Genomic DNA, 24073 nt, shown 5'->3' with positions numbered 1-24073 from the left:
CAGACTAAGAATACTTTGAGAAATTTCTTTTTTTATATTCCTCAAATTGAATGAATTGGTGTTAGTGAGATAAGGAGCAGTACACCAGATCCAAAGTAGCCTGATGCCAACACTAAAGGAGGTTGTTTCCCCCCGGATAATTTCTGTTCCAACAAAGGGACCTGCCACTCAAAATAATTCAAGCTGTCCCTCTACATTTCCCTGGGAGTGGGACAGCCATAGAATGTACCAGTTTATTAAGTGAGAGATTCATATTTTAACCTACCTTTCAGAGATTCATATTTTAATCTACCCTGTTCATCTAGAACAGAGTTGGAAAACTTAAATACCTTCAAGAGAGAATAGAGGTAATATAAATGAGTAAAACATTTCAGGAGTTTGAGGCAGCAGGAAAAGTGAGAGGGGTATTCTCAGAACAAAAAGCAGCCATGTGATATAATTCCAACCAACTGACCAGTGGGAATGTAAGCCCAGTGTTGCCAGAGAGCCCCATTATTCAACGGAAGCCAGAAATCCAAAGGTCATGTATGAAATCAGCTAACTTCATATGTTGAGAATCGCTTGCTTCTTTGTTTTAGCACTAGCCACAATTCTACCAACTGGAAAAAATATGCCAGTAGGCTGCCAGTTAGTTGCAATTTCTTATTAGTTTTTAGCTGTTAAAAACTAGAATAATTCCGGGAAAACCATGATTCAAGAGAGAAAGCAAATAAAAATCAAATGTTTTCAAGACACTACTAGGGAAGAGAATCTCTAAAGAAATACCTTTAAGGAAAATTCATAGTAGTAGAAAACTATATTACATTTATTCCATAACTGAAGATACTCAATATATTATTTGAGCAGAGTCTACTTACAGAATTCTACTTGAAGAATGACTGAGGACATTCATGAGAAAAAAAAAACTGATCTTAATGGAAGAAAAAAATCAATCAAGCCTGACCCATAACAGTTCTATATAAAACCAACCAGAATCTGCCATCTTTACCTCCAGTTTCTCTTTGACTCCACTCCAGCCACAATGACCTACTTGCTGTTTCTTAAACATAGGAAGCCTACTTCCTTTCTATTTGTCATTGCCTCTGTTGGGATTGCCATCCCCAGGTATCACAGGTGTGAGCCTCTTCACTTCACTTCATGCCTTTATCCAAAAGCCACCTTGTCAGTAGGACCAGCTGTGGCTACAGTATCTAAACTTTCAACTGGACCCTCTCCTTTCACAGACCCCAATCCTATTACCTGATCCTTTAGCACTCAATTTTAGAGTCGTGTAACATTCTTTTTAGAGTCATAATGATAAAATTTTCTTATCTTTTCTCTCTTTTATCTTCTCTTTTTTCCCTATTAACAAGGGATACTATTTTCTGGCTGATATCTCCAACTTATTTTCCAGCCTTGCTATGGATTTCTTTTTATTTTTTTTAAAGTTCCAACTGCACATTTATTGATTCTAAATGTTCCTTCTCTAAAAATAGCATTCTATGTTATTTCAAGAATACACTATCTTATTCTCTGAGAATATTAATTGTAATGTTTTTAATGTTTCAATATTTTATTTTCTTGCTTGCATTTGTGTTTTTTCTGGAAATTCATTTTATCTGTTTGCTTGTTTGACTGTCTGTTTGGTCTCAGTCTTTTATGTTAGAGGTCTCCTACAAATACCTGCCTATACTTAACTGCCTGCTTATGTATAAACTTGAGGCTCTGGAAAGCATAATTAAATTCTCTGTTTTCTCAGACTTGATTTGTCACCTTGTGAACTTCATTGTATGGGATCTGACTGAGCAATTTCATTCTAAGCACCCATTTGGTGGGATGGTCAGCTTCCTGCAGAGAAATCTTCCAATTTTCTGTGTGGGAGGTACAAGCCTAGCTGCAAGGTCCTGAGTCAAGCATAGGAGGCAGGTGGCAAGGATCTTGACATAGTGTAGGTGGTTTCTTCCTTATCGTGGCTTCATTTCCACTTGTTCAGGCTTCTGCTGTTGTTGGCATCAGATGGAAGGCAAGGCAATTGCCCAACTGCAGAAAAAGTGGGCAAAGAGTTGTGGTCTACTTGCTTCTGACTCAGACTGTTATCTGATCATTGCATTGTACAAAAGGACTCAAAAAGATTATGGAAAATCGGATTTAAAGATAAAAATAAAAATAGATACTTTACATCTCAACATAAGCTCTATCAAACTCAAGACACTTTTGTTAAGTAATGATACCAGCCATTTAGTTTGTCTCTAAAGAACTGAATGTCCTGGGAATTTAATTATGTCAACACAGTCTTTTTTTACATTATTTACTGCAGAAAAATGGGCACATTTTTAAGACTTTTTAGGATTAAAAAAAAAACAAAAAGAAGTCAGAAGGAGCTATGTCAGGATTGTAAGGTGGATGGCTAATGATTTCCCTTCAAAACGCTCACAAAATTTCCCTCATTTGATGAAAAGAATGAGCTGGAGCATTGCTGTAGTGGAGAAGAACTCTGTGGTTAAGGTTTCTCGGGCATTTTTCTGCTAAAGTTTTGGCTAACCTTTCCAAAACACTCTCATAACAAGCAGATGTTACCATTCTTTGGCCCTTCAGAAAGTCAAAAGGCAAAATGCCTTGAACATCCCAAAAAACGGTTGCCATGACCTTTGCTCTTGACAGGTCTGCTTTTGCTTTGACTAGGCCACTTCCACCTCTTGGTAGCTATTGCTTTGACTGTGCCTTGTCTTCAGGATTATACTGGTTAAGCCATGTTTCATCTCCTGTTATGTTTCTTCAAAGAAATACTTCAGGATCTTTATTTTACTTATTTAAAATATCCATTGAAAGCTCTGCTTTTGTCTGTAGCTGATGTGGGCACAACAGTTTTGGCACCCATTGAGGAGAAAGTTTGCTCAACTTTAATTAATTTTTTAGTCAGAATTGTGTAAGCTGAACCGTTTAAGATGTATATGGTATTGGCTATTGTTTCTGCTGTTACTCACTGGTCCTCTTCAATTAGGGCATCGAAAAAGATGAATTTTTTCCTCACAAATTAATGTAGATGGTCTGCTGCTGCAGGCTTCATCTTCAACACTGTCTCAGCCCATCTTAAAGTGAGTTCTCCATTTGTAAACTGCCCATTTCTTTGGGACGTTGTCCTCATAAACTTTTCATAAAGCATTAATGAAGTCACCATTCTTCCACACAACCTTCACCATGAATTTCATGTTTGTTCTTGCTTCAGTATTAGCAGAATTCATGTTGTTCTGATAGCAGCCTTTTTCAAATTGATGCCTTATAGTGCTTAGTGCCTCAAACTAGATTATGTTCGGACATGGTATAACAGCATGAGCTTAGTTTGGTGCAAAAAATTTTTGAAACTCATGCATAGTTTTTTTCATAATACACATTTTCCATGGACTTTTGAAGACCACTTGGGGACACAACCAAACCATATAAGCTTGTTTCATCAGGTTTGTTGAAAATCAAACAGCTGTAGGTGTGCAGAATTATTTCTGGGTTTCCTATTGTATTCTATTGTCTGGGTGTCTGTTTTTGTATCAGTAGCATGCTGTTTTTGTTACTGTAACCACATAGTGGTTTGAAGTCAGGTAGCACAATGCCTCCAGCTTTGTTCTTTTTGCTTAGGTTTTCCTTGGCTGTTTGGGCTCTTTTTTGGTACCACATGAATATTAAAATAGTTTTTTCCAGTTCTTTAAAGAATTGCAATGGTAGTTTAATAGGAATAGCACTGAATCTTGTATTAGTCCATCTTTACAGTGCTGATAAAGACATACCCAAGACTGGGTAATTTGTAAAGAAAAAGAGGTTTAACGGACTCACAGTTCCATGTGGCTGGAAGGCCTCACAATCATGGTGGAAGATGAAAGGCGCTTCTTACATGGCGGTGGCAAGAGAGAATGAGAACCAAGCAAAAGAGGTTTCCCCTTATAAAACCATCATATCTCCTGAAACTTATTAACTACCATGAGAACAGTATGGGGGAAACTTCCCCCATGATTCAATTATCTCCCACTGGATCCCTCCCACAACATGTAGGAATTATGGGAGCTACAATTCAAGGTGAGATTTGGGTGGGGCCGCAACCAAACCCTATCAAATCTATAAATTGCTTTTGGCTGTGTAGCCATTTTAATAATATTGAATTTTCCTATCCATGAGCATGGAATATTTTTCCATTTATTTGTGTTATCTCTGATTTCTTTGAGAAGTGTTTCATAGTTCTGCTTTCAGAGATCTTTTACTTCACTGGTAGCTGTGTGCATAGGTGTTTTATTTTATTAGTGGCAATTGTGAAAGGGTTTGCATTTCTGATTTGATTCTTGTCTCGACTGTTGGTGGCGTATAGGAATATTAGTGATTTTTACACATGGACTTTCTGAAGTTATCAGTTTAAGGAGCTTTGGGGCAGAGACTATGGGGATTTCTAGATATAGAATCATGTTCTCTGCAAACAGGAATAATCTGACTTCCTCTCTTCCTAGTTAGATGCTGTTTATTTCTTTCTCTTGCCTGATTGAGCTGGCCAGGACTTTCAATCCTATGTTGAATAGGAGTGGTAAGAGAAGGCATTCTTGTCTTGTGCCACTTTTGAAGGGGAATGCTTCCAGTTTTTACCCATTCAGTGTGATGTTGCCTGTGGGTTTGTCATAGATGACTCTTATTATTTTGAGGTATTGTTCCTTCAACACCTAGTTTATTGAGAGTTTTTAACTTGAAGGGGCGTTTAATTTTATCAAAGCTTTTTCTGCATCTATTAAGGTAATCATGGTTTTTGTCTTTAGTTCTGCTTATGTGATTTATCACATTTATTGATTTGTGTATGTTGAACCAATCTTGCATTCCAGGAATAAAGCCTACTCGATTGTGGCAGATACACTTTTTGATGTGCTGCTGGATTTGGTTTGCCAGTATTTTGTTGAAGATTTTTGTATTGATGTTTATCAAGGATATTGGCCTGAAGTTTTCTCTTTTTGTTGGGTCTCTGCCAGGTTTTGGTGTTAGGATGATGCTGGCCTCATAGAATGAGTTAGGGAGGAGTCTCTCCTCCTCAATTTTTTCGAATAGTTTCAGCAAGACTGGTGCGAGCTCTTCTTTGTATATCTGGTAGAATTCAGCTGTGAATCTGTCTGGTCTTGGATTTTTTTTGTTGGTAGGCTATTTATTATTGATTCAAATTTCAGAACTCATTATTGATCTGTTTAGAGATTCAATTTCTTCCTAATTCAGTCTTGGGAAGGTGTGTGTGTCCAGTAATTTATCCATTTCTTCTATGTTTTTTAGTTTATGTGATAGAAGTGATCATAATATTCTCTGATGGTTGTTTGTATTTCTGTAGGGTAGGTGTTAATATCCCACTTGTCATTTCTGATTGTTTATTTGAATCCTCTCTCTTTTCTCCTTTATTAATCTAGCTAGAAGTCTATCTATTTTATTAATTTTTTCAAAAAAAAAAAAGCTCCTGGATTAGTTGAGCTTTTGAATGGTTTTTTTGTGTCTCAATCTCCTTCAGTTCAACTCTGATTTTAGTTATTTCTTGTCTTCTGCTAGCTTTGGGATTGGTTTGTTCTTGGTTCTCTAGTTCTTTCATTTGTGATGTTAGGGTTTTTTTTTATTTTATATTTATTTATTTATTTATTTAATTTATTTATTTATTTATTTTGAGATGGAGTCTCGCTCTGTCACCCAGGCTGGAGTGCAGTGGCTCGATCTCCACTCACTGCAAGCTCCGCCTCCTGGGTTCACGCCATTCTCCTGCCTCAGCCTCCTGAGTAGCTGGGACTACAGGTGCCCGCCACCATGCCTGGCTAATTTTTTGTATTTTTAGTAGAGACGAGGTTTCACCGTGTTAGCCAGGATGGTCTTGATCTCCTGACCTTGTGATCCGCTCGCCTTGGCTTCCCAAAGTGCTGGGATTACAGGCATCAGCCACCGCACCCGGCTGATGTTAGGTTTTTAAATTAAGATCTTTCTAACTTTTTGATGTGGGCATTTAGTGCTATAAATTTCCCTCCTAACACTGCCTTAGCTGTGTCTCAGAGATTCTAGTGTGTTGTATCTTTGTTCTCATTAGTTTGATTTCTGCCTTAATTTCATTATTTACCCAAAAGTCATTAAGGAATAGGTTATTCAATTTCTATATAATTGTATGGTTTTAAGTGTATTTCTTGGTCTTGATTTCTTTTTTTTTTTTTTTTTTTTTTTTTTTTGAGACAGAGTCTTCTTGCTCTCTTGCCCAGGCTGGAGGGCAGTGGCATGATCTCGGCTCACTGCAAGCTCCGCCTCCCAGGTTCACGCCATTCTCCTGCCTCAGCTTCCCAAGTAGCTGGGACTACAGGCGCCCGCCACCACGCCTGGCTAATTTTTTGTATTTTTAGTAGAGATAGGGTTTCACCATGTTAAGCAGGATGGTCTCAATCTCCTGACCTCATGACCCACCCACCTCAGCCTCCCAAAGTGCTTGGATTACAGGTGTGAGCCACCGCGCCCATCATCTTGATTTCTAATTTGGTTGCACTGTGGTCTAAGAGACTGTTTTTTTATGATTGTAGTTCTATTTTATTTGCTGAAAAGTGTTTACTTTTGGTTATGTGATTGATTTCAGAGTATATACCATGTGGCAATGAGAATTTATATTCTGTTCTCTTTGAGTGGAGAGTTCTCTAGATGTCTGTCAAGTCCATTTGACCCTGTGTTGAGTTTAGGTCCTGAATATCTTTGTTAAGTTTCTGACTTGATTATCAGTCTAATATTGTCAGTGAGGTGATAAAGTCTCCCACTATTATTGTGTAGGAGTCTGAATCTCTTTGAAGGTCTCTAAGAACTTTCCTTATGAAACTGGGTGCTCCTGTATTGGGTGCATGTATGTTTAGGATAGTTAGGTATTCTTGTGGAATTAAACCCTTTTCAATTACGTAATGTCCATTCTTTGTCTTTTTTTATCTTTGTTTATTTAAAGTGTGTTTTGTCTGAAACTAGGATTGCAATCCCTCTTTTTTCTGTTTTCAATTTGCTTGGTAGATTTTTCCCCATTCCTTTATTTTAAGCCAATATGTGCCATTGCATTTGAGATGGGTCTCTGGAATACAGCCTTTCAATAGATCTTGGTTCTTTATGCAGCTTGCCACTCTCTGCTTTTCAATTGGGACATTGAGCCCATTTACATTCAAGGTTAGTATTGATATGTGTGGATTTGATCTTATCAGCATGATGTTAGCTGGCTCTTTTTCAGACTTATTTATGTGTTTGCTTTATAGTGTCACTGGTCTGTGTACTTCAGTGTGTTTTTGTACTGGTTGTTAATAGTCTTTCTGTTCCATATTTAGTGTTTCCTTCAGGAGCTCTTGTAAGGCTAGTCAGGTAGTCATAAATTCCTTTAGCATTTGCTTCTCTGAAAAAGATCTTATTTCTCCTTTGCTTATGAAGCTTAGTTTGGCCGGATATGAAATTATTGGTTGGAATTTCTTTTCTTTAGGAATGTTGAATATTGGCCTCCAATTTCTTCTGGCTTGTAGGGTTTCTGCTAAGAGGTCTGCTATTAGTCTGATGGGCTTCCCTTTGTAGGTGACCTGACCTTTCTCTCTAGCTGCATTTAACATTTTTTATTTCATTTCAACATTGGAGAATCTGATAATTATGTGTCTTGAGGATGATCTTCTTTTGCAATATTATACTGGGGTTTTCCGCCTTTCCTGAATTTGAATGTTGGCCTGTCTTGCTAGGTTGTGAAAGTTCTCATGGACAATATCTTGAAGTACATTTTCCAAGTTGGTTCCATTCTCCCCATCTCTTTCAGGGACACCAGTGAGTCATAGATTTGGTCTCTTTACATAATTCCATATTTCTTGAAGTTTTTGTTCATTCTTTTTTCATTCTGTTTTTCTGTATTCTTGTCTGCCTGTCTTATTTCAGAAAGCCAGTCTTCAAGCTCTGAGAGTCTATTCTTCACTTGGTATATTTTTCTTTTAATACTTGCAATTTGCATTGTAAAATTCTTATAGTGTGTTTTTCAGCTCTATCAGGTTGGTTTATGGTATTTTTTCTATACTGAGTATTTTTTTCTGTCAGCTCCTGCATTGTTTTATCATGATTTGTAGCTTCCTTGTATAGGGTTTTAATGTTCTCCTATAGCTCAAGGATCTTTGTTACTATCCATATTCTGAATTCTATTTCTGTAATTTCAGCCATCTCAACCCAGTCAGAACCCTTGCTATAGAGGTGATGCAGTCATTTGGAAGAAAGAAGGCACTCTGGCTTTTTAAGTTCTCAGGGTTCTTGCACTGATTCTTTCTCATCGTTTTGGGCTTATCTTCCTTCAATTTTTTAGGTTGCTGGTGTTTGGATTTTTTTTTCTCTTATCCTATTTGATAACCTTGAGTGTTTGATTCTGGTATAAGGTGGATTCAGCTGACTGGCTTCATTTCTAGAAGATTTTAGGGAGCCAACACTCAGCTCCTAACTCCTGGACTGTGTGCTTTAAATATGGGAGACTTGTACTGGGCTGCAACTTTGTTCTCTGTCTCCTGGAGGTCAGGAATCTACTGCACTGGGGATGCTGAGGTTCTCACAGACTGCTTCTCATCACACTCCCATAGGTGGTGTCAGCCAAAAGGTTCTGTGATGTGGTAAGTGGGATCCGTCCTCATTTGTGCATGCCAGCAGCAGTGATAGCGGCAGCTGCAGTAGACTGCTAGCAGGTGCTGGAGTACCTACCTTCCTGCAGGTGTTCACCACAGTAATAGAGTCAATGCAGCTGAAAGGGAGTGGGGTTGGGGGCTGATGGTGACTGTGTGGGTGGTCAGGCTGGAGGTGGTGTTGGCTTAGGGCAAGAAACTGGGAGGTGCAGGTGTGGGTGCCTTCTCCGTGCCCCGCAAGCAGGAGTGATCCAGGGTGTGGTTTCAACCAAGCAAAAATATTTCCATATTTCAGCTGCAGAGCCAGCATCGATATGGGACAGTGTTAGCCATTTGGGAGAAGTTGGTTTTGGTGAGTAAAGACAGAATTTGTCCTTTTTTGATTTTTCCTGCAGGACTCACCCGCCAGAAGGGACTCTTAGAGAGAAAGTAGGAATGGGGGTGATAGGATATTCAGATAAGCAAAGGGAGAATCCAGGGATGAGCCTCCTTGGGAGTTTAAAAAAAACTTCAGACACTGCATGAGATTCACTGTGATTAGAAATATTATTAACTGAACAGGTATTTGAAAGATCTGCATTCTGGAACAGATTTTATTTTAACTTATTTTTCAACTGAGGTTGTAGTTTGGAGTGGGGAACTTTGTGGGATGAAGAGGCTAGCTATCATCTTGTTGGCAGCTTTAAGCCCACACATTTCTCACATAGTGAGTATGTTGAGACTGTGAAGCAGATCACATTAAGTTGCACAGAGTTAAATGCTGTTTTATTTTAATAGCAATATATTTCATTTCATGTCTGTAACTTGTATATAAAAATTTGTGAATTTCAAAGATAGTATTTCTTAAAATGTTTAAGAAAAAAGTAATTAATCTAAAGAAAATACACTGTAACCAATAGTATTTGTAGTATACAATTATAGTAAAAAATAAAAATTTTTTTTGAGACAAAGTCTTGCTGTGTCACCCAGGCTGGAGTGCAGTGGCACAATCTAGGCTCACTGCAACCTCTGTCTGCTGGGTTCAAGGGATTCTCTTGCCTCAGCCTCCTGAGTAGCCTGGATTACAGGTGTGCACCACCACACCTGGCTATTTTTTTTTTTTTTTGTATTCTTAGTAGAGACGGGGTTTTACCATGTTGGTCAGGCTGGTCTCAAACTCCTGACCTTATGATCTGCCTGCCTTGGCCTCCCAAAGTGCTGGGATTACAGGCATGAGCCACCGCGCCTGGCCAAACATCTTAAAAATAATTCATAAATGGGCAAAGTATGGAAAACATTTGACTTTTTAATTAACTTGCTAATGGTCTCCATGCATATGTTTGGATTTCACACATGCTTTAATTGCTACTTGTTTTTGAGAGCATTTTGAGAGGGCACAATTTTTGAAATCAAAGAATCCATTCAAAATGCCAACATCAGCTTCTCTTTTGTTTTAAGGGGATATTTTTTTCCCTTCTTAGAATAAGCAATGCTCTGTACAGTCCATTAGAAGGAGGGATCTTAGCAAAAATGGTTTTCTCTAAGCATTGTTGAAACAGATTGGTTATAACACCCATGTCTAATAATACCAAGGAAAACAAAACAAAAAAAAAGACAAGTATTTAACTTGGCAGTACTTCCCCCAGGGAGACCACTTAATTTTTGGCAACCAAAAAATAAAACTTCATCAGATGTACATATAATTGAATGCCAAATTGTGGCATTCGATTTCCAGACATTATTTTCCTTCCTTCCAAGGAGGCATGCAAGCCTGTAGATACAGCATCACAGAAGATACTTTTAAAAACACTCTTCCTTATCAATAATGCCTATGGATTGAAGAAATTCTTGATTCTTAAACGGTAATGGATAATAATGTTAAGACAGATGTTCTCCAAACTGTGTCAAGTAGAGATTAAGTCTTTGACTCTGAGGTGATTTTAGGTAAAACAATGTAAATTTGTAGGAACACAAATCTTATACTAATTAATTGGTTGGGCTAAGGAAATTATTACCAACACTAAATATGTTCCTTATTGTTGTTGTTACATTGAAAATGTCTAACTTTGAAAATGAAATTCTGTAAACACAGCTATAGTACAGATCGTTGGTTTTGGAGTCATACTTTGGATCAACTCTAGCCTCCAGCCAGTTAGCTGTTTCATCCTAAAAATAATACTTCTTTAAGCTTCAGGTTACTTATCTGTAAAATGAAATAATAAGATAACCCAACTAAAAAGGTGTATGTAAATATTATATAATATATAATATATTATATATGATTATATATAATATAATATATTATGTGCTTAGAAAAGCAACTGGCACATTTAAGATTGAAGGCATTATTATTGCATTGATCTTATGCATACATGTTTCAAGGTCAATTTGGTCCTGTAGTTAAAATCTAGAAATGTCAGATTTCCCCACATAACAATGTTTTTTAATGTTGTTCATTAAATTTCTACATTTTCCTCTACTTTGCTCTATTTCATTTCCTATTATCTTCTCTTAAGACCCTGTAGTTGCTTGCATTGTTGCCTTGCATAATGGAGGATGTTGGTGGCCTAGGTTTTTGCTGTATTTCATTTTCAAAGATGTGTTCTCAGACCCTTAGATGTTGAATTGCATCTCTTTTTTTGTATTGTCAACTTTTTAAAAAGCTTGATTCATTTAGATGTTCACGGGTATGTTGTCAGAATGAAGCTCTCACAATCCACTTGGGAGAAGAAATAAAATCTTCTAGCCTCTGCTGATACATAATCAATAGGGATCTGGCTGCTTGAGATTTAACTTACCTTATAGCTACCTCTGCAGCATAAATGGAGATTAGAACCTTCAGGAATTCTGGAAGTATTTATAAACTTTGATGGGGGATTTTGCTTTCAAAATTAATGGACCAACCTTGAATGCTTTTATCATTTTGCTTCTGCTGAAGATAAATTATCAATCTAAATCCTCTCAAGGCATTCAGTGTTATCACCTTGATTTATTCTTAAGTTTGTAGGTTCAAATTCTTATCTCATCTCTGTTTCTCAGCTGTACTTCAGAGAGGATACACAAGTATGGAAAAGGAACTTTCCTAATTTGTAGTTATTATTGCAAACTTCTCACTATGTTATTTTGACTTTTTAATATAACAAAAGAACTAACTCAAAGAACAATACTGTATTAGTGTCCTAGGGCTGACATAATGAAGTACCACAAACTGACTGGCTTAAGCAACAGCAATGTATTGTTTTGCAGTGCTAGAGGCAAATGTCTGAGTAATGTGTTCAAAAGGCCATGTTCTCTTTAAGAAGTGCTAGGGAAGTTCCAGTAGTCTTCTAACTTCTGCAAGTTTCTTGGCTTGTGGCAGTATGACTAATCCCCACTGGGCTTTCTCCCTATCTGAGTGTCTCTCTTTGTGTACAAATTCTCTCTTTCGCAAGGACACCAGTCATATTGGATTAGAGGCCCACCCTAGTCTACTGTGATTTTGTATTAGTCTGTTTTCATGCTACTGAAAAAGACATAATGAAGACTGAGCCATTTACAAAAGAAAGAGGCTTATTGGACTTACAGTTCCTCATGGGTTGGGAGGCCCCACCATCCTGGCAGAAGGTGAAAGGAACATTTCACATAGTGGCAGACAAGGGAAGAGAGCTTGTGCAGGGAAACTCCCCTTTTTAAAATCATCAGATCTTGTGAGACTTATTAACCATCACAAGAACAGCATGAGAATGACTCACCCCCATGATTCAATCACCTCCCACCAGGTCCCTCCTGCAACACATGGGCATTCAAGATGAGATTTGGGTGGGACATACCCAATCCACATCATTCTGCCTCTGGCCCCTCCCTAATCTCATGTCCTCACATTTCAAAATGAATCATGCCTTCCCAACAGTCCCCCAAAGTTTTAACCCATTTCAGCATTAACTCAAAAGTCCACAGTCCAACATTTCATCTGAGACAAGTCCCTTCTGCCTATGAGCCTGTAACATAAAAAGCAAGTTAGTTACTTTCTAGATACAATGGGGGTACAGGCATTGGGTAAATACAGACATTCCAATGGGAGAAATTGGCCAAAACAAAGGGGATACAAGCCCCATGCAAGTCCAAAATCCAGCAGAGTAGTCAAATCTTAAAGATCCAAAATGATTTTCTTTGACTCCATGTATCAAACTCGTGTCATGCTGATGCAAGAGGTAGGTTCCCATGGTCTTGGGCAGCTCCACCCCTGTGGCATTGCAGGATACAGCCTTCTTCCTGACTGCTTTCACTGGCTGGTGTTGAGTGTCTGCAGCTTTTCCAGTCACACGGTGCAAGCCGTTGGTGGATCTACCATTCTGGGGTCTGGAGGATTGTGGCTGTCTACTCTCAGCTCCACTAAGCAGTGTCCCAGTAGGGACTCTGTGGGGGCTCCAACCCCACATGTCCCTTCCACACTGCCCAAGAAGAGGTTCTCCATGAGAGCCCTGCCCCTGCAACAAACTTCTGCCTGAACATCCAGGCATTTCCATACATCTTCTGAAATCTTTGCAGAGGCTCCCAAACCTCAATTCTTGACTTCTGTGCACCTGCAGGCTCCACACCATGTGGCAGCTGCCAAGGCTTGGGGCTTCTACCCTCTGAAGCAACAGCCCAAGCTGTCCCTTGGCCTCTTCTAGTCATCACTGGAGAGGCTGGGAGGCAGGGCACCAAGTCCCTAGACTGCACACAGCAGAGGGACCCTGGGCCTGGCCCATGAAACCATTTTCTCATCCTAAACCTCCAGGCCTGTGATGAAAGGGACTGCTGCAAAGGTCTCTGATATGCCCTGGAGACATTTTCCCCATTGTCCTGGGAATTAACATTCAGCCCCTTGTTACTTACACAAATTTCTGCAGCTAGCTTGAATTTCTCCTCAGAAAATGGGTTTTATTTTCTATGGCATTGTCATGCTGCAAATTTCCCAAACCTTTATGCTCTATTTCCCTTAAACTGAATGCCTTTAACAGCCCCCAATTCACCTCTTGAATGCTTTGCTGCTTAGAAATTTCTTCTGCCAGATATTGTAAATCATCTCTCTCAAGTTCAGAGTTTCACAAATCTCTAGGGCAGGGGCAAAATGCTGCTAGTGTCTTTGCTAAAACATAACAGGAGTCAACTTTGCACCAGTTCCCAACAAGTTTTTCATCTCCATCTGAGACCACCCCAGCCTGGATTTCATTGTCCATATCATTATCAGCATTTTTATCTAAGCCATTCAACGAGTCTCTAGGGAGTTCCAAACTTTCTCACATTTTCCTGTCTTCTTTTGAGCCCTCCAAACTGTTCCAGCCTCTGCTTCTTACCCAGTTCTAAAGTCACTTCCACATTTGCAGGTATCTTTTCAGCAGTGTCCCACTCTAGTGGTACCAGTTTACTCTATTAGTCTGTTTTCACACTGCTGATAAACACGTACCTGAGACTGGGCCATTTACAAAAGAAAGAGGTTTATTGGACTTACAATTCCATGTGGCCGGGGAGGCCTCACAATCATGGTGGAAGGTGAATGGCATGTTTCACATGGCAGCAGACAAGAGAAGAAAGCTTGTGCAGGGAAACTCCCCTTTTTAAAACCATCAGATCGGCCAAGCATTGTGGCTCATGCCTGTAATCCTAGCACTTTGGAGGCTGAAGCAGGCAGATCACGAGGTCAGGACATTGAGACCATCCTGGCCAACACAGCAAAACCCTGTCTCTACTAAAAATACAAAAAATTAGCCGGGCATGGTGGTGGGCACCTGTAGTCCCAGCTACTCAGGAGGCTGAGGCAGGAAAATGGTGTGAACCCAGGAGACGGAGCTTGCAGTGAGCCGAGATCACGCCACTGCACTCCAGCCTGGGTGACAGAGCGAGACTCCGTCAAAAAAAAAAAAAAAAAATCAGATCTCATGAGACTTTTTAACCATCACAAGAACAGCACAGGAAAGTCCTGCCCCCATGATTCAATCACCTCCCACCATATCCCTCCCACAACACATGGAAATTCAAGATGAGATTCAGGCAGCGACACAGCCACACCACATCAGACTTCATCTTAATTTAACTAATTATACCTACAATGGGACTTTTTCCAAATAAGGTCACATTCTGAGGTACTGGGGATTAGGATTTCAACATAGAAATTCTGAGGGAGACACAGTGAAGGAATAAAACATTTGGATATATAATTTTATTTACGAATCATTTACTTTATTCTAAGACCTAGTCTCTGAAAAGAAATCCTATTTTTCAGATTCATCCCTGGTAGATGAAATTGTAAGGTAGGACTCCCAAGCTTTTCAAAGGGTGCACTAGAAACACTGAGAGGAACACAGAAACTGTTATGTTAACTACGATTTGACTGTACAAGTAGAAATAACATATTTTCCGTAATGTAGCTGAGGTTTACAGTGATGTATAAGCAATTCCTAAACACACACCAGCAAAGCATTCAGGTTCTTACATACGACACTGGTTCATTAAAAAGTAACAGAGCTGAGTCCATATACGAAGCCTAGACAGACCTTATTATGAAAACCTAAATTGTAGTATAAAACTGCAAATATGTTAACACCAATTTAGATAAATTAATTGTCAATTGTTCAATACTCCAATCCACATTTCATAAAAGATGGAGCTTGATATAGATTTTCCTCCCTTCATCCAGTCACTCTAAATTATTTCAGCTTTAAAGAGGCGAGTCCTTGCCTTTCACATTGGGATATAGAATTTGGTGAAGTGCAGCCTGGGCAACATGGTGAAATTCTGTCTCGGCAAAAAGTACAAAAATTAACTGGGTGTGATGATGCACACCTGTAGTTCCAGCTACACAGGAGGCTGAGGTGCGAGGATCGATTGAACCTGAGAATTTAAGGCTGCAGTGAACCATGATTGTGCCACTGCATTCAGCCTGGGTGACAGCGTAAGACCCTGTCTCAGAAAAAAAGAAAAAAAAAATTTGATGAAGCACATTAGTTGTGGACTTTGGGTATGCATTTTACCAACAAAGCTCTATTTGGGAAAGAGTTAGTTAAATAAACGTAGTTTACTGAGCCACATGTTGATATGGACTGTGGCTTGCTGAAAATCACATTTATGCCTAATAGAGTGCTTAGCACATAGTGGCTCCTCCAAGAAAGAGTTCGTTGAGTGAATAGCAACAATTTACCAAGAAATCAACACTTTTTTTCCATTTGCCTATATTCACTAGGAACAAAATTTGAGCTGGAGACTAAAAAAGAGAGAATAGGGGTAAGAGCGAAAAGGCTGAAGACAGAAGGATGGAAAGAAATGACCAAAAAAGGAGGGAAGAAAAGAGAGGAGGACATTATAATTGATTAAGAAGAGACTGCAATTCCTCCATTCTCTTCATTACACTATGCAGCTCCTTGAGAGGTCATTCTTAAAGTACACTTAGACCCTCAAACAGAACTTAGAATTTAAAATGGCTTGCAAAACTTCAACATATTCATTTAATGTGAAATAAATGATTTGTTAAAAGGTGGGAAATTCCAAGAGGTTGAGTCATGACAAGAAGTTTTAAATCTTATTGGTTTATTTTGATTGCATTTGCAAGTATCTGATGAAAATGTGCAAATCAGCTCATCTCTGTGTTTCAGGCTTCCTGTTGATTGTGTGACAGAGTTGCCAGGCACATAACACATTTGTTTAACAGCACTGCATGATGAACTCACAGTGTTTTACCTCCAGGACTGAAAGTCCTTAATTTGTTCTTTGAGGAACAGTCTGTTTTCATCAAGAGACACGCTTTCGTTGATCAAGCAATTCTACAGAGAGTGACATTAAAGAAAAAGAATCTGGGGATAAGGGTTAGCAGGGAAGTATCTGCCCAGTACCCATGAAAACATAGCAGTTCTCATTTTCCAATTAAACACATTTATTAATTTTTAAATGAAGTTTTCAGAATATGCCTACATCCAGCACAATAGCAATCTCTAGGGCAAGGAAAAAAATGAAACAAAAGCGATGAAAAAAAAATGATGTGAATTTGTAGCAAGTGCTGTGTTTAAGGGAAGTAATTTAAGTGTCAAGGAATATATAACACATTTAAAATATGCTTTTGGTAAAATATTACTGTCTGTTTAGGAATTATCTATTATAATTTTTCTGAATCCAATTTAAATATATAATGGGGTGAAATATACGTACAATATACTTCTAATTGCTTTTCTAATTAGTATGAGAATCCCTCTTAGGAAATACTTTTATGTACCATTCAATGCTTATTTATTCTTTATCCACTACATGTCAGCCACTACTTTCAGACACCGGAGACACAGGGCTGAAATGATCAATCCTCTCTCCCCACGTGGAGCCTGCATTCTAGTCTGAGCTCATCTTGACAAACCACCTGAAGTGAAAGTGAGGTTCTGAAGGTTTAGGTGAGGAAATAACAAAAGAGATTCATGACAAGCTTAGCATAAGAAAGGGACAGGAATTTAGAGCAGGGATGCGCATAAAAACAAATAGAAGTTAAGAGTTTCAGAGGAAAGAGAAGACCAAGTAATAAGGTGAAAAGTTTAAGCCTGGGATAGAGAAAATGACTTAAAAAAAAAAAAAACCTGAAAAGCTAGATCTTCTAATACCCAATTTCAAAATATCTGTTGAGCAGCAATATGTGTAAAGACCTTCACCATTACATGAGAATAACCACAACAATCTACTGTATGACAGGAGCAATCACCAGACATTCTACAGAAGCTGGAAACTACAGCAGAGATATCTAGGTAAACATTTAGCCACAGGAAAACTCAGAAACTCCGATACAGAATTTGAAATGAAAATCTGTGCTGATTTTAACAGGCACAATGGAGATCTGTGCTAAGATACATTATAGACTCTGTCTCTCTTTTTCTCTCTCTCTCTCTCTCCTCTCTGCCTTTCCTCTCTCTCCTCTCTCTTTTTTCCTGTATGTCCATACACATGTGTATTTGTATACAAAATAATTAAATTAAAATGAGCATTTAAATTTGAATTCCAAATTCAGAAGCCAAGCATTTCTATTCAGTTTTTTAAGTTGTAAAATTGGTTATGCCTGGCTCTACCTGATCTTGCAGAACTTCAGTGTTCCCATCTTGTGCAATAGGGAGTTTCTCTTTCTACTCTAGATAGAGTGCAGCTCTAAAAACCAAATTAAACAATACATATTAAAGCAATTTGTAGATTACCACCTGCTACACAAGTAATGATGGCAATAACTTTGTTTTTGTACAGCTATGAACTCTTTATAAAGCTCTTTCTCATATATCATCTTCTTTTCTGTTCAAAACCACTCTGCCAGTTAGACCTTATTGATCCCATTGAAAGAAAGGCAATAAAACAAAGCTCTGAGAGGCTGAGTATCCCAAAGTCACACAACAAGTAAATGGCCCAGAGACCACTTCCTGCTTTAAGAGCATCACTTTTCCATAATACACATTTTCTTTTGGCCTTTCAACCAGAATTCAGATAATCTTCAGTAGCCTCAGCTTCCCGGAACCCATCTTTCCTTCTGGTCAGAGTGTGTGAGCTCTATGAAATGACACAGTGTCGGAGATCTTGAACTATGCAATATTTCTATTTAGTGAAAAACAAATATCCAGGGGTACGGAGAAGGTACACTAAAAAGAGGAAGGAAAGGAGAAAATGTTGAAGTTCAAAACAGAGCTCCTACCATGCTGGGTAATTGCTTTGCATAGTTTTTTTAGGCAGAAATTATAGATCCATAATATGCTAATGAACATTCACACTCACAGTGTGCACTGTAATGACTCCAGTGGAAAAGCTCATAGCTTCCATTCAGTCCTGAATAGGCTGCCAAATGTGATCATACCTAGTTTCAGGCAATCATAGATTAAACAATACTTTATTGTCATTAGCATACTTTAACACACACACACCACTATCATAAAATAATATTTTAAATTGTAATAAAAATATAATCAAAAAGGAAAAAGGAATATTTACAGCAAATTGTGAAATTTACCAAAAAAGATTATTAAAGGTTAACAAATTAAAATAAGTTAGGAATCTGATGGAAACCTCATTCTCATCCAAGTTCACTGTCAATCACAATTCTTAGAAATGCCAGTGCCTGAGAGATATAACATCAATTTAAAAAATTTTAGTGATATTAAGGAAAATACAGTCCTCTTAACACTTTCCCTAGACCAGTACAGCTTATCTGCTTCACAAAATGGATGGGTTTGAGTGTGAGTGTCTTTGTCTTTTATGTAAGTGTTACTAAACTACCCAGTCTGGCCCCTGCCACGGACTTCCCCACAGAATATGGCTGCCAACGTTTCAGATTTCACTCAGCACATCAGACTTAATTTACTAATTGTCTTCCCACATCATTTTGCCAACTGATAGAAAACCCAGAGTCAGTAAGTAGCCAATCATTTCCACCAGTCATCTCTCTCTCTCTCTGCAAGTGTAATATAGCATAGCCATGCCTTTGTGCAATGTGATCACCATTTCATTTAACTACTTTACTTAGAAATAAAATGGTTTTGGCTAATTGTCATAACTTGAACCTATACTGTTAGTACCTTTTCTTAATGTGATATCCATTTTACTCCCTTATCCTTCCTCTGAGCAACTCCCATTATGCAAGTCTGAGTCAATACATTCTCAGTCCCAGAAACACACTTACTTATTTCTCCAAGTCCAGGTAGTTTCATATTTATGCGTACATGGAGGAACAAATGAATTTTCAGATGTGTCTTAGTTTGGGTTCCTCCAGAAGACAACTCTAAGATAAGAATTTGAGTACAAATAGTTTTTTTAGGATGTTATCCCAGGAAACATGGGTGAAGAGGGATAAGTAAAAGTTGTGTTAATTCTCCTGTACTTCTAGACTGCTGTGCAAGGGGCACACCTGTCTCCAGCTGTCAGAAGAGCCATTGGGCAAAGAGGTGCAGAGTCTGGCAGTGAGAAATCAGAACTCCATGTGTGACCTGGTAAAGCCCTAGGGAATGTGGTAGGGAACCAGCAGGTTCTGCTACAGGATGAATGTGATGCACACGGAAAAATAATAGAACCTGCATCACCAGAGTGCTGTTAGGATAAAGTGGATACACGCATAAAAGCCACATTTGCTCTGTATGTAATATCTTTTATTGTGTTGTGCCTGTATTATGATTATGATATATATTTTATTAGCTTGTTATATATTCATTTTTTGGCTTAGTAATCATTCATCTCTGTGCATTTTAATGTATTCTTTACCTATTCCACAAGTTGTTTTTGTTGTTGCTGTTGTTGTTTTTTGTTTTTTTTTTTTTTTTGAGATGGATGGAGTCTCACTCCATTGCCCAGGCTAGAGCACAGTGGCATGATCTCAGCTCATTGCAACCTCTGTCTCCAGGGTTCAAGCAATTCTGTGTCTCAGCCTCCCAAGGAGCAGGGATTACAGGCACCCACCACCACAACTGGCTAATTTTTGCATTTTTAGTAGAGACGGGGTTTTGCCATGTTGGCCAGGCTTGTCTCAAACTCCTGACCTCAGGTGATCTGCCCTGCTTGGCCTCCCAAAGTGCTGGAATTACAGGCGTGGAGCTACCGCGCCTGGCCCAAAGTTTTCTAAATGACTTACAATAACACATAAAGTGTATAAAATTTAAAAGGTGGCAAATAAAGCCAGACACAACTCAATCATAGATCAAAGTAATGAATGAGACTAAAAACAAGCCGGGTGCAGTGGCTCACGCCTGGAATCCCAGCACTTTGGGAGGCCAAAGTGGGTGGATCATGAGGTCAGGAGTTTGAGACCAGCCTGGCCAACACGGTGAAACTCCGTCTCTACTAAAAATACAAAAACTAGCTGGGCATGGTAGTGCATGCCTGTAATCCAAGCTACTCAGGAGACTGAGGCAGGAGAATCACTTGAACCCAGGAGGCGTAGATTGCAGTGAGCCGAGATCATGCCACTGCACTCCAGCCTGGGTGACAGAGCAAGACTCTGTCTCAAAAACAACAACAACAAAAACACATATCACAATGACCTACACATTTGTCATTGCTGGCTAGATAGTTGTCTATAAGCTATTTAATAGACAATGTACAAACAGCAAGGTTTTTAACCCAGAGCTACTTTCTTGTTCAATATGAGCAAAGATACCGAGGAAAGAATTGGAAACCTCTTCTAAAATCAAGGGGCCAAAGAGCATATGAGGATAATTTTGGTCACATTTTTCATAAAAATTATATACTGTTACCAGAAATATAAAGCACATCAACATATGATATGTATTCATCATATACAGAAATTCAGGGTGTGCATAGTCATGTGAGATTTCTCCTGCTTCTGAAATTCAAATAACTTTAAACTGCAGAAGGAAAGTCTGCTCTTATAGACTTATGCAATGCGTAGACATTACTCATGGAGAAGGTTCTCTACAAGGACAAACACATAAAAAAGAGGCATATGGATTAGATTAGAACTTTCTTGGTTCATAGCACACTTAATGTTTAATAATATTTCTATGATACCTACACCAAATTAATAGCTTACAGTTTCATTTATTAAGTGGTTAAATGAAACACTGAAAAAGTATTTATTTTCTAACAATTTAGTAACCATTTAAAAATATAATAGTACACACAAATATGAATAAAACATATTTTCTTTCTTTCACATGATGTCCTTTCCGTGGGAGATTGTAAGTCAATCTTACTTCCAGCTTCCATGCTGGCATTCCTTTGAGAACTATCCTTGGCTTCAAGGGCCCATGTTTCTCACCTGCAAGCAGGTGAGAAATGCCAGGGAATTCACATCCCCCGGGAGTACTTCCAATTAATAAGAGTTATGTACACCATGGCCAGAATGTTGTGTTCCCCTAGGATTCATATGTTGAAATCCTAACCCCCAAGGTGATAATATTAGGAGGAGGGGCCTTTGGGAAGTGATTACCTAATGAGGACTTTGTCATTATGGAAATTAATGGGATTAATGCCATATTAAAAAAAAATCCCAAGATTTTTTTAACCTTGCCCCTTCTGCCATGTTATGTTACAGTGAAAAGAGGTCCGTCGATGAACCAGAAAGGAGACCTTCACTTACTCACCAAATATACTGGCACCTTGATCTTGGACTTTTCAGCCTCCAAAACTATGAGAAATAATTTTCTGTGGTTGATAGGCCACTCACTTCATGGCATTTTCTTATAGCAGCTTGAACAGACTAAAACAATATATTAGGTTAGTGCAAATGTTATTGCAGCTTTGGACTGTGAATTTTAAATTATTATAACTAGGCTCAAACACATCTTTATTAATCATATAGGAACCATTACAATCAACACATTTTTGCCAAGGAGAAATAACTTTGTTTATTCCTGTAGTGTAAAAATCCGTGCTTCGGGATTTGATGAGCTCTGGAAAGCATTTTCTGCATCCTGCTGGTTGTGGAAGTATTTTCCCTTCAAAAAGATGTTGAGATGCTTAAAGAAGTGGTAGTCGGTTGGCAAGAGGTCAGGTGAATATGGCAGATAAGGCAAAACCTGATAGCCCAATTCGTTCTACTTTTGAAGTGTTGGTTGTGCGATGTGTGGCCTGGTGTTGTCATGGAGAAGACTCGGGCCCTTTCTGTTGACCAACGCCGGCTGCAGGCGTTGCAGGTTTTGTGCAGCTCATCGATTTGCTGAGCATACTTCTCAGATTTAATGGTTTTGCCGGGATTCAGAAAGTTGTAGTGGATCAGACTAGCAGCAGACCACCAAACAATGACCATGACCTTTTTTTTTTTTTTTTTTTAATTGGTGCAAGTTTGGCTTTGGGAAGTGTTTTGGAGCTTCTTCTCAGTCCAACCACTGAGCAGGTTGTTGCCAATTGTCACATACAATCCACTTTTCCTTGCATGTGGCAATTTGATCTAGAAATGGTTCATTGTTGTGTAGAACAAAGGAAGACGACGCTTCAAAATGATTTTTTTTAATCTTCGCTCAGCTTATGAGGCACCCACTTATTGAGGTTTTACACCTTTCTAATTTGCATCAAATGCCAAATGACCAATGTTGAGTTCTTCAGCAACTTCTCAAGTAGTTGTAAGAGGATCAGCTTCAATGATTGCTCTCAACTGATCATTATCAACTTCCAATGGTGGCCACTATGCTCCTCTGCAAGTTTCTCCTGTCCTCTGCAAATCTTGAGCCACCACTGTGCGTATGTTTGTTAGCAGTTCCTGGGCCAAATGCACTGTTGATGTTGACTGTTTCCGCTGCTTTATGCCCCATTTTGAACTTAAATAAGAAAATTGCTTGAATTTGCTTTTTGTCTAACATTATTTCCATAGTCTAAAATAAATATAAAGTAAACAGCAAGTAATAAGTCATTAGCAAGATAACATAAAGCGAGAAATGTGCATTAAAATGATGTATAACAGAAGCACATTTATTTAAGAATGTATTCCTGTATCAAACAGCAATTCCAACAATGCAAATACTCCAGCTCCCTTGCCTATGTGGGGACATAACTCTGAGGTGTTTGTTCTAGTTTGTCTTCCAGAGGTCTCCATTGGGATTAATCTCCAGTTACCTACAGTGAACACTTGCTTGAGAGTGTACCATTTTATTGACTGTGTTGCCTTTTCTGTATAACTTTCCTCCTTCCCTTGTAGTGTTTCTGGGAGTCACCTCCTAATCAATACATGAATGTACTTGAACCCCTGTTTCAGGGTTTTCACCTGGAAGAAATCAAACTAAGACAAATGAATTAATGATTCATCAACCATACACCATGTTCTAGCAATATTTTCTTTTTCACTTTTTTCCCTTGCTTTTTATCCTTGATGCTAATCACAGTGCCGTTTATATGATAGGCATGTAGCTAATCATTGTGTTCTTTTAGTGCCCAATCACAATACAATTCATTCAGGTGACATGCCCCAAGCCCCCATGTTGTATATACTGAGTTTGGTGCTGAGCCCACAGTATCTATACTGTGTTTGGTGCTGAGCTCAGTTTCGTGCTGAGCCCAAAATATACTGTGTTTGGAGCTGAGAATCCCAATATAAATAAATATAAAGAAGGTATACACTCCCTGTTTTTAAAAACTCATAGTCTTCAGAAGAGAAAGACTTATGAACTGGTGACTGATGATATACAGTAAATGCTTAAAAACTCTCAATAAGTAGTTTCTGATTACTCAAATAAATTAGCAACCTCCCTGTCCCCATAACCATTTTCACTTTTTTCCTATGCCCTTCTCTCTCTTTATACAGCATTGTTAGAATACAGCATGAGCAGTGGGTACGGGTCAGAAGTTATATGTTAGGGCAGTTCTCCCTTGTCATCTCTGCAGTGAGAGTAGGGGCTATTTGGTCCATTTGTTTAGCATAAAGTATTTGAGACCAAGATTAAAAGTCTCACTTTGGGAAGACACATGGAAAAGACAACATGAAAGAATTAGCTCATATCCATTATCACTGCTAAGAAAACAGCTTAAAATTGGTGTTCCACGTGTGGTGGGATGATAGCATCAAACTTATT

The 24073-nt window shown here is 38.6% G+C and overlaps 3 annotated features.

Annotated features, from left to right (window-relative positions):
• Positions 12012–12281: an enhancer, noted in NCBI's record as "active region_28466". NCBI's record gives its function as "activates an Ori minimal core promoter by ATAC-STARR-seq in GM12878 lymphoblastoid cells {active_cell/tissue: GM12878}" and the evidence as "EXISTENCE:reporter gene assay evidence [ECO:0000049][PMID:35858748]".
• Positions 12352–12491: an enhancer, noted in NCBI's record as "active region_28465". NCBI's record gives its function as "activates an Ori minimal core promoter by ATAC-STARR-seq in GM12878 lymphoblastoid cells {active_cell/tissue: GM12878}" and the evidence as "EXISTENCE:reporter gene assay evidence [ECO:0000049][PMID:35858748]".
• Positions 16728–17401: an enhancer, noted in NCBI's record as "OCT4-NANOG hESC enhancer chr9:75829932-75830605 (GRCh37/hg19 assembly coordinates)". NCBI's record gives its function as "activates a minimal SCP1, AML or CMV promoter by ChIP-STARR-seq in naive H9 embryonic stem cells {active_cell/tissue: H9 hESC(naive)}" and the evidence as "EXISTENCE:reporter gene assay evidence [ECO:0000049][PMID:30033119]".

This window comes from Homo sapiens, chromosome 9, assembly GCF_000001405.40.
Source record: "Homo sapiens chromosome 9, GRCh38.p14 Primary Assembly".
Lineage (NCBI taxonomy): Eukaryota > Metazoa > Chordata > Mammalia > Primates > Hominidae > Homo > Homo sapiens.
Note: the sequence above shows the minus strand (reverse complement) of the source record. Positions and strands in the feature narration are given on the sequence as shown.